This window comes from Homo sapiens, chromosome 1, assembly GCF_000001405.40.
Source record: "Homo sapiens chromosome 1, GRCh38.p14 Primary Assembly".
In the NCBI taxonomy this organism is placed as follows: domain Eukaryota; kingdom Metazoa; phylum Chordata; class Mammalia; order Primates; family Hominidae; genus Homo; species Homo sapiens.
In genome coordinates, this window is record NC_000001.11 from 38,413,052 (window position 1) to 38,427,037 (window position 13,986).

Below are 13,986 nucleotides of genomic sequence, written 5' to 3' on the forward strand. Positions count from 1 at the left end.
CAGAATAATGGTTATTTTTAGGAGAGACACTGACTGGGACAGAGCATGAGGGGGTAGTTTTCAGGAGTGATGTAAATGTTCAATATCTTTATTGGTGTGATGGTTACACATGCCATATTAGTTTCCTAGGGCTGCTGTAACAAAGTGCCACTAACTCAGTGTCTTAAAATGACTGTCACTTATTATCTCATATTTCTAGAGACTAGAAGTCCAAAATCAAGGTATCAGCAGGGTTGACTCTTTCCAATCATTCTGAGGGAGAATCTGTTCTGTGCCTCTCTCTCAGCTTCTGGTGAAGGACGGCAATCCTTGGTGTTCCTTGGCTCGTAGATGCATCACTCCAGTCTCTGCCTCCATGTTTACATGGTGTTCTCCCTGTGTCTCAGTGTTTACATTTCCCTCTCCTTGTAAAGACCTTCCCAATCACCTCACCTTAATTTGATTACATCTGCAAAGACACTATTGCCAAATAAGGCCACAGTCACAGGTGCCATGGGCTAAGACTTCAACCTGTCTGTTTGGATGGCACAGTCGAAATCATAAAGCATGAGTATATATTTGTCAAAACTGATTAATGGGAGAAAAATTCATGACCTTGGTTTGGTGATGAGTTTTTAGCTATAATACCAAAAGCATAGCCATGAAATAAAAAATTGAGAAGTTGGGTTTTATTAAAATTAAAAACTTCTGCTCTGTGAAAGATACTGTTAAGAGACTGAAAAGGCAAACCACAGACTGGGAGAAAATATTTGAAAAACACATATCTGGTATCTGGTAAAGGACTAGTATCCAAAATAACAGAGAACTCTTAAAATACAACCATGTGAAAACAAACAACTCAATTAAAAATAGGCACAAGATCTGAACAGACACCTCACTAAAGAAGATATACAGATGGCAAATTAGCATATGAAAAGATGTTCAACATCCTATGTCATTAGAGAATTACAAATTAAAACAACAATAAGATATAATCACACACCTATTAGAATGGCTAAAATCCAAAAAACTGACAATACCAATTGCTGGTGAAGATGTAGATCAACAGAAAGTCTCATTCTTTGATAGTGGAAATGCTAAACGGAACAGCCGCTTTGGGAGACTTAAGTAGCCAAATATAGTCTTACCATACTCTCTAGCAGTTATGCTCCCTATGACTTGAAAACATGTCCACACTAAAACTTGCATGCAAATCTTTATAGCAGTTTTATTCATAATCACCAAAACCAGGAAGCAACCAAGATGCCCTTTAGTAGATGAATAGATAAAAAACACTGTTACATCTTTGCAATGGAGTATTATTTGTCAATAAATAATTTGAGCTATCAAGCCATGAAAAGTTATGAGTAAATCTTAAATGTATATTGCTAAATAAAAGAAGACATTCTGAAAAGGCTACATATTGTATGATTCCAATTATATGACATTCTGGCAAAAGCAAAATTATGTTAAGAGTAAAAAGATAAGTGGTTGCCAGGTGTAGAAAGGGAAAGTTAAATAGGTGAAGCACAGGGGAGGTTTTAGGGCCACAGAACTATTCTGTATGATATTGTAATGGTAGATATATGACAGGATGCATTTATCAAAACCTATACAACTTTACAGTGCAAAGAGTGAGCCTTAATATATGAAAATAAAAAAAAATCTTTTAGGTGATTGAGGTCCAGGACAAAATGTGACAAAGCAATCTAATTGTGTACAAATGTATGAAACAACCTCATGGAAGAGGGTTGGGGAAAACGTCCTGACCTAAGTAACTTTGGAAATGAGTGGAGTTAATAGAACTAAAGGTAAAAGCTGTAAATAAATACTGTTCTCTAGTTGATAAAGTTGTTTCCCATGGGTCATGGGCTAACACAATACTGATAGCACTAAGCATATATACTGCAAGTGAACAATTAAGTAAATGAATGGCAGATGGTGGGAGTCAGTTTTCTCACTGTTGGAATGGGAGGTTACAAGCAAGCAAGGGAGGAAGCTAGAATGGTCCATGTGATAATAGATTCGAGTTGGAGACATCAGCAGAAACTAATGTTTAGGTTAATGTACATACAGATGGTGGCATATAGAAATATGTACAGTTCTGTGTATATACATGGATTCATTTTAACACACATATTTTTTTCTGTCAGCTGAGAGGGCCTAGAAACAAGGACATACAGTAGCAATGACCACACATGCCAGATCTTGGTTTCTAATACCATTCTCTAGTGAAAGGGACCAGGGTTCTTGGAGAAATGGTTGAGTCTACGAGTAGGGCAGAAAACATATAGCATGATACTGGGGTATCCTGTAGTGCCAGAAAGTAAGAAAGTGCTCATAAAACCAAAAACAAACAAAAAGAAATGGTAATAATATTAGGTCAAAGTGACCTGGGAGCCAACCAAAGGAGCTCTCAGAAGCCAAAGCTGGAAATATGTAAGTGACAAAGGAAAGAAAGTAGTATAGGATTATAATCCAAAATATAAAATCAATATCTATGAGACCATACTGATAGAAATAAATGTTTGGATAAATTAATACATGGAGAAAAAAGCCAAATACCCCATGAAGAAGCATTCCAAATTATTTGTGTAGATGGTCTGTCCTCAAGGAGCTAAAATGTAACTTTCTTCACTCCACAAATAGGCCCTGGGAAGTTGTTGAAAAAGTTTGGGCTTTAACATCAAATAATTGTGAGTGGGAGACACATATCAGACTTTTGTTAGCTGTGTGATCCCAGGGAAGTCACCCTTTTTAAAGTTCAGGTTTCTGCAAAATGGAGATAGTAATATCACTTAACTACCCTTTATAGTTACTGTGAAGATCAGATATCTACAAAGCTCTCAGAACAGTGCTTAGGATGTTATAGCATTCAATAACTTGGAGCGTTTATTTTTTTCTTTTTTTTTGGAGACAGAGTCTTTCTCTGTTGCCCAGGCTGGAGTGCAGTGGTGTGGTCTCAGCTCACTGCAACCTCCGCCTTCTGGGTTCAAGCAATTCTCCTGCCTCAGCCTCCTGAGTAGCTGGGATTACAGGTGTGTGCCACCACATCTGGCTAATTTTTTGTATTTTTAGTAAAGACTGGAGTTTCACCATGTTGGCCAGGCTGGTCTCAAACTCCTGACATCAAGTGATCCGCTCGCCTTGGCCTCCTAAAGTGGAAGGATTACAGGCTTAGCCACCGCACCTAGCCTAGTGTTTATTCTCTAAGGTAGTGTATTTCTAAGGTAGTCTGCTTCAGATGCTGTAACAAAATGCCACACAGTGGCTTAAACAACAGAAATATATTTTCTCGCAGTTCTAGAGGCTGGGAAGTCCAAGATCCGGGACTGGCAGGGCTTGGTGTCTGATAAGGGCTCTCTTCCTGGTTTGTGGATGGTTGCTTTGTCCTTACATGGCCTTTCCGTAGTGCATGTGTGAGGGTGGGAGTGTGGGTGAAGGGTTGGGGAACCTCTATCTCTCTCTTTTTCTCTCTTCCTCTTCTTATAAGGCTAACAATCCCATTGGAGTACAGTCCCACCCTTATGATGTCATTTACCTTGTATTACTTTCTAAAGCCCTATCTACAAATATAGTCACATTGAGGGGTGAGGGCTTCATATTTTGGAGCCCAAAATAATAATTTTGGAGGCAAGAACACAATTTAGTCCATAGCAGGTAGTCTGAGATACTGAATAAGACAACTTGAATTCTCATTCTAACTTCACCACGTACTAGCTATGTTGGGGAAATCTCTCAAGTTCCTTAACTTTTTTTCATTTTTAAAAATTGAGGTATTATTTTTATCCAGTAAAACTCACACATTTTAAAATATTGTTAAGTGAGCTTTTTTTAAAAAATAATCCTTTTATTTTAGAACAGTTTTAGATTTACAGAAAATTTTCAAAAATAGTACAGAGAGTTCCTATATATCCTGCAATCAGTTTCCCCTATTATTAATATCTTAAATTCGTATGGTATATTTGATGAACTAATATTGACCTATTATTATTAACTAAAGCCCTACTTTATGCAAATTTCCTTAGTTTTTACCTAATGTTCTTTTTTGTGTTCTGGGATCCCATCCAAGGTACCACATTACATTTAGTCATCACGTCTCCTTAGGTTCCTCTTGGCTGTGAAAGTTTCTCAGACTTTTCTTGTTTTCGATGACCTTGACAGTTTTGAGAAGTATTAGTCAAATATTTTGTAGAATGATCCTACCTGGGAATTCTGATGTTTTTCTTTTCTTTTTTTTTTGAAATGGAGTCTTGCTCTGTTGCTCAGGCTGAAGTGCAGTGGTGCACTCTCAGCTTGCTGCAACCTCTGCCTCCCAGGCTCAAGTGATTCTCCTGCCTCAGCTTCCCAAATAGCTGGAATTACAGGCATGCGCCATGATGCCCAGCTAATTTTTGTATTTTTAGTAGAGACTGGGTTTCACCATGTTGGTCAGGCTGGTCTTGAACTCCTGACCTCAAGTGATCTGTCTGCCTTGGCCTACCAAAGTGTTGGGATTACAGGCATGAGCCACTGTGCCCGGCTTGATGTTTTTCTTTTAATTAGACTGGGGTTATGGGTTTAGGGGGAGGAAGATGACAGGGGTAAAGTTCATCTCATCCTATCATGAGTACGCAATACACATGACTTATCACTACTGATGTCCTTGATCACCTGGATGAGGTCGTGTTTATTAGGTTTCTCCACTTAACATCAATCTCCTCCCTGTACCCGCTTTCCATACTATACTCTTTGGAAAGCAGTCACTGGCCAGAGTCCATACTTAATGAGTAGGGAGCTATGCTCCACCTCCTTGAGGAAGAAAGATCTACATAATTTATTTGAAATGTTTCTGTGTGGGAAAGTTGTCTCTTCTCCCCTATTTATTTATTCAATATTTACTTATATAAGTATGGACTAACAAACTTATAAAATATGTTTCTTTATAAAGAAAATAAATTTATAATAGAATATTATCGTTACTTTGGCTCCTGTGTCCCTTTTGACATACTCCCATCATTTTTCTTATTCTCACTGTCTCTCTCTCTTGTGCACACACACTTCTTCACTTTCTATCACTACAAAGTGCCCCAGAGTCACCTTGTCTCTTCTTGCCCCAGCTCTAGAATCAGCCATTTCTCCAAGGAGCCCTAGCACTTAACAGAGAATAGTATTTATTAATAGATCTGGGCACTAGATGTGTTGTTTTCTGCTGAAGCACCACTGCTTCCAGGCCCTCTCAGGGAACAGAGCTATGAAAATACATGGGTGTCCACTAACCCCTGTGTACTCACACATCTCTATTTATTTTTTTATCTACACAAACAAGCAAATGCAAGTTTATACGGATATCACTGAACGTAACCCAGCACCACAGGGTTCACTCCAGCCTTTCCCCCGTGCTTAGTGGGCCTTCCTTCTCTAGCAGTGAGAAACCTGGCTTTCATTAGAGCTCTTCTTTTATTGCTTTTATAAATTAGCCTTTTGTGTAAGATTTCATTTGAAAACCAAAACAACAAAAACAACTTCCACAGCTAAATAACAAATTCAAAACCCATTGGACTAGACTATGCATAGCTAAAAGCCCTTTTATCTCCAAGGATCTCTGATGCTGCAGGGCTGGGAGGGAAGTGGAGCGGAACTTTGTCTTATTATCTTTGGCCAACAGAGTGGAGTGGATTGGATTGGCTTGGAATTCATCCAGCATTCAACAAGTATTATTGAGCCCTTCTTAGAGGCCAGGAACAGCCCCAAATGCTGGGTACAGGATGAGCAAGGCAGCAAGTCCCCTTGTGGGGCTGACCTCGCAGTGGGGGACAGACAACACGCATGTAAACAAATACAGAAGGTTCAGATAGAGACAGGCGGCAAAAATAAAACATCATAAAGAAATGGAATGCGATGTGGGGGAAGATAAGAAGTAAAGTGGGGGTGGTGAGAAAAGGTGGCTAACTTTGAGCTGAGGCCTGAGGAGGGTGAGAAGGAGCCAGATATTTTAGACCTAGAAGAATAGCGTTCTAGGCAGAGGAATTTTTAGGAGAAGTGATATGAAGCAGGAACACGCCAGGCTCATTAAAGGGGCAAAAAGAGGATCACATAGGCTGAGCAGAGTAAAAGAGGAGAGTGGCAGCAGGTAAGGTTGGAGGCCCCAGAGAACAATAGGGCATATAGATCAGAGAGGGCATGTCGATTTTATCCGTAAGGCAATGGAAAGCCATAGAAGATGTCTGTTAAGAAATAGAGATCAAGTTGACATTAGTTGATAGTGGATGTTAAAGCTTAGGCCCAACTAACCAGCCAGAGGAGTCCAGGTGAGAAATGAAGGTGATCCTGAACCAGGCCCAGAGCATGCGGCCAGCAAAGACTTTACCCTCTCTCGGCTGAAACCAGCAGATGAGTGTATTTGTGGACACGGTTTCAAGGTGGGTCCTGGTGTGCACTAACTAATAAATTAAGACAGTGCCCTGCTCTAAAAGCTATGAATACAAGCCCAAATCTCCTATTGACATGTGGGAACTGGAGTCCCCAGGGAACTCCTCAGATATCTTGGGTCACCAAATACACAACCCAATCCTGATGCTGCTGCCCAAATTCTGAATAATATGGCTTGGCATTTGGCATCTTCACTGGGTGTGTTTCCTCAGTCTATCAGCATTGTGCACCTCCTTTCCAGCAAAACCAAAGTGCTGCTGGCTTGGAGTATCTCACCCCATGTGCATAACTGTCCTCTGTCTCCTTCCACTCAGCTCCTCCACATCCATAGGTCTGTTACATCTTCCAAAACCTGACTTTAAACCCATCTCTGGGAAGATCTTCCTAATTGGCCAAGCTCATTCTTTGGCCCACATCCAGTCTAGGTCTCTGCTCCACAGTGGGTACTTGGGACATCCTTCTCACATTAAATGTAAAAGGTATGCCTGTTTCAGATGTGGTTTTAATGGTAATCTCTCCCTCCCCACAGCCCACCCAAGTAGGCAGACTCAAGGAAGTTACACAGAGGCAATAAAGACTGATAATAGGTTGATTAGGTTGATACTAATTGATATAGGATGATAGAGATTGGATCCAACTGACCAACCTAAGGAGTCAAAGCTCTTGTTCCAGAAAATAGCTTTTTTTCCCCAGAAAAAAAAATGCTATTGTTTTTATAGTACAGTGGAATATTTTGAAATGGAGGTTGCATTTCTTCATATGGTTTCTTGTACCTATTACTGTTTCCCCCACTATTAATGCAGCTGCCCTGAGAGGGCACAGCTTGGAACAAAGAGTCCATTTCTCAACTTGTGAGCTTCTAAGTAGATACTTGTACAACGGCAATGAAAGCATTAAAAACTAAAGTTTCCAATCTGAAAGTTGTACTTCGAAGAAAGAAAAATGGTTATAGGTTTATTTTTTGTTTTTATTCTAGAAGTTTGGTTTTGAATATCAGAAAACATAGATTTAAACTATATTATAGGGAAGAATACATAATAATATATTTTCCTTCCCCCAAATAGATGGATCAGTTGGGGAGATGGAGAGTAGGAGAGGATGTGACTGGAGCTTAGTTGCTGGTCCCTAAGAAGGGGCTGAGCCCTTCTATCTATTTAGGTTGAATTCTTGGCAGGGTGCTCCTGGAATGACAGGAACCTGATAGAAAAATTAGATTAATTGTGAGGAGAAGGTAGGGTGGAGACTCGGAGAGCAGGGTGATGATCAGCTGGCAACTGAGGTCTAGGCTGGGGAAACAGCAAGGCTCTCAGGGAGCTCTGCACTTATTACCGTCTGAGAGGTGGAGCAGCCATGCGGACTGAATTGCCTGGGCATTCAGGTTCCCAGCCTGCATCAGAGGCTTATGCTTCCCAGCACAGTGGCAGGAAATCAGAAAAAAGCTTCTGTGGCCCCAGAGGAGAGGATTGGCAAATCCAAAGGAAGCCAGAGCAGCGGGAGGGATGTGGGCAACCCTGGTGCCCTGAGGACATCATTAGCTGCAGGATGGAATGGGGTGTGTATTGGGTTAACAGCTGATATCAGAGAGCAGGCAGGAAGAAGAGAGGAACACCCTCAATGAAGGGGGTCAGCAAATGAGGAATCAGACACCTTCTGACCATACTCACCGCAACATCTCCCAACCAAGATCAATGGGCAAAGGGAAAGTGGGAGAGAATCTTAAAGCCATTATATTTAAATCTGGAAGTGACAGGGTTTACCTTAAATTGGGAGGAAGGCTTTCTACTACTCAGAGGAATGAGTGGATATAAGCTAAGTAACCAGTTGTAATAACATTAGTGATAATAATAATAAACACATATACAGCACCTACTACTATGCAGCAGGCACTGTCCTAGATACCTGGCATGTGGTAACTCATTTGATCCTAGTAATACATGTATGAGATGGAAACATTTTAGCACACTTGAGTGTCGTGACTATTATTTGCAATTTATAAAGCACTTTTTACCTATATTATTTCATTTTATGACTCTTTTTAGACATGAAATAAGAGTTTTGCTCAAAAGACTTGCCTTAGGCCATATAATTGGTAAATAAAATATCTGGGCTTGAACCCAAGATTCCCATCACTTGGTCTGAGTTCTTTCTACTGTGCCACACGTGTTCAGTAAATAGATATTTTCAAAAACAATTGAATGTATTATCTTACCTTAAAGAAGGAGACTTAAGACTAAAACTTGGTGTCCTTAAAGATTTCAAGGTTGATTAAAGAAGGGTAAGAGCAGAGGAGATTGTGAAGGCATGTGGAATACAGTCAGGAAGAAAACTGGGGAGTGTCATGTCATAGCCCTCTAGAAAGAAGGTGTTCTTAAAAGGTCACAGTGACCCTGGTAACAACGAGCACAGCTAGAGTCCAGATCTTGGTTTCTAAGTATCAGTCCCCACTAAAAGGAATATGGGCTTTTTAGAGAAAAGGCTGATTCCAGGGCTAAGGCAGGGAAAGTAAATGGTGAGCCTGGAACTTCTGGTGCCAGAGTAAGGAGATGCTCAATGGACAAAATGATGGGGTTACTGTGGAAATCAACAAGGACCACTCAAATGAGAACAAGAAAAGGCTACTTATTCTGAGCTTAGTAGGGCGTGGGAGTCAGCCACAGTCACTTGTATTTTGGCAGAGACTTGAATGCAGTCTGAGGAGTGGGAAAGCCTACATACATGTAGTGGGAGAAAGGGGAGACTTCAGATATACCCTGATTGGGGGCTCTGACATGGGGAAGCTATAGGGGAGCTAACTAGAAGTGGGGTGTCCTATGTGATTGCTTAGAGAAGCATATTTGGCTTTCTCTGGTCCTAAATTGGAATCAGAGACAAAAATTAGGGAAGTTGTCAGTTATTGATCTAGTCCTGGCCATATTCGGCTGATTATTAGAGGGCTTATTGTTTGGCTTCTGGTATTGATTGCTAGAGACAGTGGTCTGACTTTCTGTAAGTCTGACTTATGGATAGCAAGCTGGCTTCCTGGGCTGGTTACTGTAGATAATGGCTTGACTTTCTGTGCTGCTGGCTGCAGATTATGGGTCAAACTTTTAGTTTTATGTGTGGTTTGGCCATTGTTCATTTGTATATTCCTCATCTCAGTACATCAAAAGGAACACGGAAGCCAACCTAAAATAGTCAACCAAATTGGGGATAATTTAAACATTAAAATGAGTAATAACAGTCAGGATTGTAACTTACTGAGTTAAAAAATAACCCATGAGTTCATTCTGATACAAAAAAAACAAGTAAACAAATAAAGTGAAGGATAAGAGAGAAGTCTTCCTTATAGTAGAATGACAACTAAAAAGTATAGAAGAAATGATAGAGTAAGGGAGTCAGTATTTTGCAATAATTGATTCAGGTAAAAATCACTAATGGATCTAAAAATCTATAGGTAGTATTTCATTGGTGATTCAGAGCAGAGTATCTCCCACAGATCACTTAGTAAAAACAAAGGGGAAAAATTTCTTCATAGTGCAGAAACATGGTATACCCCACCTTAGTCAAGTGATCAAAGTGAGCATCACCCAGCATGGGACAAAGCAACATCAAGGCCTTACGATGTCATGCACTGAGAAGAATATAACATAATGGATTCAGTGTTCCTGCCCCACATGGATAATCCGAATCTAATCACGACAAAGGATCAGACATTCTAGAGAACAACTGCTATCCTCTTCAAAAATGTTGATGTGGTAAAAGACAAAGAAAGGCTGAGGGACAGTTCCAGATTAAAGGAAACAAAATTAACATGACAACTAAGTGCAATGCATGGTCATGTATTGGATCCTGGATTGGAAATTTGTTGTTGCTGTTGTAAAGGTCAGTTATTGAGACAATTGGCAGAAATTAGAAAATGGAATCTCTTTTAGACAATGGTATTGTATCAATAATACATTTCTTTGTTCTTAGGAGACACACGTATAAGTCTTAAGGGGTGAAGGGCCATAATGTCTGCAATTTATCCTTAAATGATTAAGAAAAACAGCAACTAATAATAGGTCTTTTTTTTTTTTTTTAAATAGAGACAGGGTCTTGTTGCGTCACCCAGGCTGGAGTGCAGTGGCATGATTGTAGCTCACTGTAAGCTTGAACTCCTGAGCTCAAGTGATCCTCCTGCTTTGGCTACCCAAAGTGTTGGGATTATCAGCATGAGCCACCACACCAGCCAATAGGTCTATTTTTATGAAAAGAAAGAGCTAACACAAATATAGTAAAATGTTAAACAACAGGTGGATCCAGATGGATATACTGGTATTCACTGTAATATTCTTGCAAATTTTCTGTAGGTTTGAACATTTTCAAAATAAAAAGTAAAAAAATATATATGCAAAAAGGGAGGTGATGCTCAACTGTGCTGTGCTAACAGGTCAAATAAGATGACTTAGGAAGTGGCCACTGGCTTTAGCAACATGGCAGTCACTAGTGACCTTCACAAGCAGTTTTGCAGAGATGGGACAGAGGCTGAATTGGCAAGGATTAAGAAGAGAATATAAATTGAGGGAGTGGAAATAGCAACTTGAAACTGTCTCTTTAAAAAAATTTTTAGCTCATATAGGATAGGATGAAATAGAATTAGTTGCTAGCTTCCATTCTCTTCTTTTGTTACTATTTTTTTTTATTATACTTTAAGTTCTAGGGTACATGTGCACAAAGTGCAGGTTTGTTACATAGGTATACATATGCCATGTTGGTTTGCTGCACCCATTAACTCGTCATTTACATTAGGTATTTCTCCTAATGCTATCCCTCCCCCGTCCCCCACCTCATGACAGGCCTCAGGGTGTGATATTCCCCACCCTGTGTCCAAGTGTTCTCATTGTTCAATTCCTACCTATGAGTAAGAACATGTGGTGTTTGGTTTTTTGTCCTTGTGATAGTTTGCTCAGAATGATGGTTTCCAGCTTCATCCATGTCCCTGCAAAGGACATGAACTCATTCTTTTTTATGGCTGCATAGTATTCCATGGTGTATATGTGCCACATTTTCTTAATCCAGTCTATCATTGATGGACATGTGGGTTGGTTCCATGTTTTTGCTATTGTGAATAGTGCAGCAATAAACTAGTTATTAACTAGTATCTAGGACTATATAAACCAATCTGGCCTGGATTTATTCCCAGAACTGAGTAAAGTGTTTGCATTGATCTAAGTACTTAACTCACTCCATGGACTTGGGATTCAGCATTAATTTGGGGTCAAAAGCTTTTACAGTCTCCTTTCCTGTGGCTGAGAACTCCTCTTAGGAGCACCCTCTAAGGCCTTCTGGCTGTCTCTTGCCACCAACTTCCCAGCCTTTTCCTCCTTCAGTTCACAAATGGAGCTCTGCAGAGAGGAGAGCAGCAGGGCCCCTTCTCCAGTGTCTGACATCTGCTCCATCCTCGGGGGAAGAACCTGATAAAGCACCTTGAAGCCACCACAGCTTCTAGGCCAAAGCCCCATTCTCTGCAGTCCTACACATTTCTCTCTGGTTAATCACTTCTTCACCTTTTCTACTGTCCTCTTCACTGGCATGAATTAATTCAAATTTTTGTCTTTCCTATTCATTGCTGAAATTTGCTTCCTCTGTTATATCATTGGATACTACTTCCTTTCGATACAAAACCTTAACATTTCCAAAGTTTAAGTTCATACTGTCAGGTCTCTGAGCCCAAGCTAAGCCATCATATCCCCTGTGACCTGCACGTACACATCCAGATGGCCGGTTCCTGCCTTAACTGATGACATTCCACCACAAAAGAAGTGAAAATGGCCTGTTCCTGCCTTAACTGATGACATTGTCTTGTGAAATTCCTTCTCCTGGCTCATCCTGGCTCAAAAGCTCCCCTACTGAGCACCTTGTGACCCCCACTCTGCCCACCAGAGAACAACCCCCCTTTGACTGTAATTTTCCTTTACCTACCCAAATCCTATAAAACGGCCCCACCCCTATCTCCCTTCACTGACTCTGTTTTTGGACTCAGCCCGCCTGCACCCAGGTGAAATAAACAGCTTTATTGCTCACACAAAGCCTCTTTGGTGGTCTCTTCACGCGGACGCACATGAAATTTGGTGCCATGACTCGGATCGGGGGACCTCCCTTGGGAGATCAATCCCCTGTCTTCCTGCTCTTTGCTCCGTGAGAAAGATCCACCTATGGCCTCAGGTCCTCAGACCAACCAGCCCAAGAAACATCTCACCAATTTCAAATCTGGTAAGCAGCCTCTTTTTACTCTCTTCTCCAACCTCCCTCACTATCTCTCAACCTCTTTCTCCTTTCAATCTTGGCGCCACACTTCAATCTCTCCCTTCTCTTAATTTCAATTCCTTTCATTTTCTGGCAGAGACAAAGGAGACACGTTTTATGCGTGGACCCAAAACTCCGGCGCCAGTCATGGACTAGGGAAGGCTGCCTTCCCTTGGTGTTTGATCATTGCAGGGTTGCCTCTGATTATTCGCCCAGGTTTCAGAGGTGTCAGACGACGCAGGGACGCCTGCCTTGGTCCTTCACCCTTAGCGGCAAGTCCCACTTTTCTGGGGAAAGGGCAAATACCCCAACCTCTTCTGTCCGTGTCTCTACCCCTTCTCTGCCTTTCTGGGGGGCAAGAAACTCCCAACCCCTTCTCCTTCACCCTTAGCGGCAAGTACCACTTTTCTGGGGGAGGGGCAAGTACCCCAATCCCCTATATCTCTGTGCCCCGATCCCTTATTTCTGTGCCCCAACCTCTTATATCTCTGTGCCCCAATCCCTTATTTCTGTGCCCCAACCTTGTATCTCTGTGCCCTGACCCCTTTCCCACTTTTCTGGAGGGTAAGAACCCCTGAACCCCTTCCCTCCATGTCTCTACTCTCTCTTTTCTCTGGGCTTCACCATGGGCAACCTTCCACCCTCCATTCCTCCTTCTTCTCCCTTAGCCTGTGTTCTTAAGAACTTAAAACCTCTTCAACTCTCACCTGACCTAAAATCTAAGCATCTTATTTTCTTCTGCAATGCCGCTTGACCCCAGTACAAACTCGACAGTAGTTCCAAATAGCCAGAAAATGGCACTTTCAATTCTTCCATCCTGAAAGATCTAAATAATTCTTGTTGTAAAATGGGCAAAGAGTCTGAGTTGCCTGACGTCCAGACATTCTTTTACATATCTGTCCCTCCCTAGTCTCTGTGCCCAGTGCAACTTGTCCCAAATCTTCCTTCTTTCCCTCCCACCTGTCCCCTCAGTCCCAACCCCAAGCATCGCTGAGTCTTTCTAATCTTCCTTTTCTACAGACCCATCTGACCTCTCCCCTCCTCCCAGGCTGCTCCTCGCCAGGCCGAGCTAGGTCCCAATTCTTCCTCAGCCTCTGCTCCTCCACCCTATAATCCTTTTATCACCTCCCCTCCTCACACCTGGTCCGGCTTACAGTTTCGTTCCGTAACTAGCCCTCCCTCCCCCACCTGCCCAGCAATTTACCCTTAAAAAGGTGGCTGGAGCTAAAGGCATAGTCAAGGTTAATGCTCCTTTTTCTTTATCCCAAATCAGATAGCATTTAGGCTCTTTTTCATCAAATATAAAAATCCAGCCCAGTTCATGACTCGTTT

The 13,986-nt window shown here is 41.4% G+C and overlaps 1 long non-coding RNA gene across 1 annotated transcript in view, besides 2 other annotated features; it reads right to left on the bottom strand.

The window, feature by feature from the left end:
• The window catches only part of LOC105378657 (uncharacterized), a 203,343-nt gene that overhangs the window by 112,854 nt on the left and 76,503 nt on the right, over positions 1–13,986 (bottom strand). The gene's annotated exons all lie outside the window — the stretch shown is intronic.
• Positions 11,257–12,201: an enhancer, noted in NCBI's record as "OCT4-NANOG-H3K27ac hESC enhancer chr1:38889980-38890924 (GRCh37/hg19 assembly coordinates)". NCBI's record gives its function as "activates a minimal SCP1, AML or CMV promoter by ChIP-STARR-seq in primed H9 embryonic stem cells {active_cell/tissue: H9 hESC(primed)}" and the evidence as "EXISTENCE:reporter gene assay evidence [ECO:0000049][PMID:30033119]".
• Positions 12,202–13,145: an enhancer, noted in NCBI's record as "OCT4-NANOG-H3K27ac-H3K4me1 hESC enhancer chr1:38890925-38891868 (GRCh37/hg19 assembly coordinates)". NCBI's record gives its function as "activates a minimal SCP1, AML or CMV promoter by ChIP-STARR-seq in primed H9 embryonic stem cells {active_cell/tissue: H9 hESC(primed)}" and the evidence as "EXISTENCE:reporter gene assay evidence [ECO:0000049][PMID:30033119]".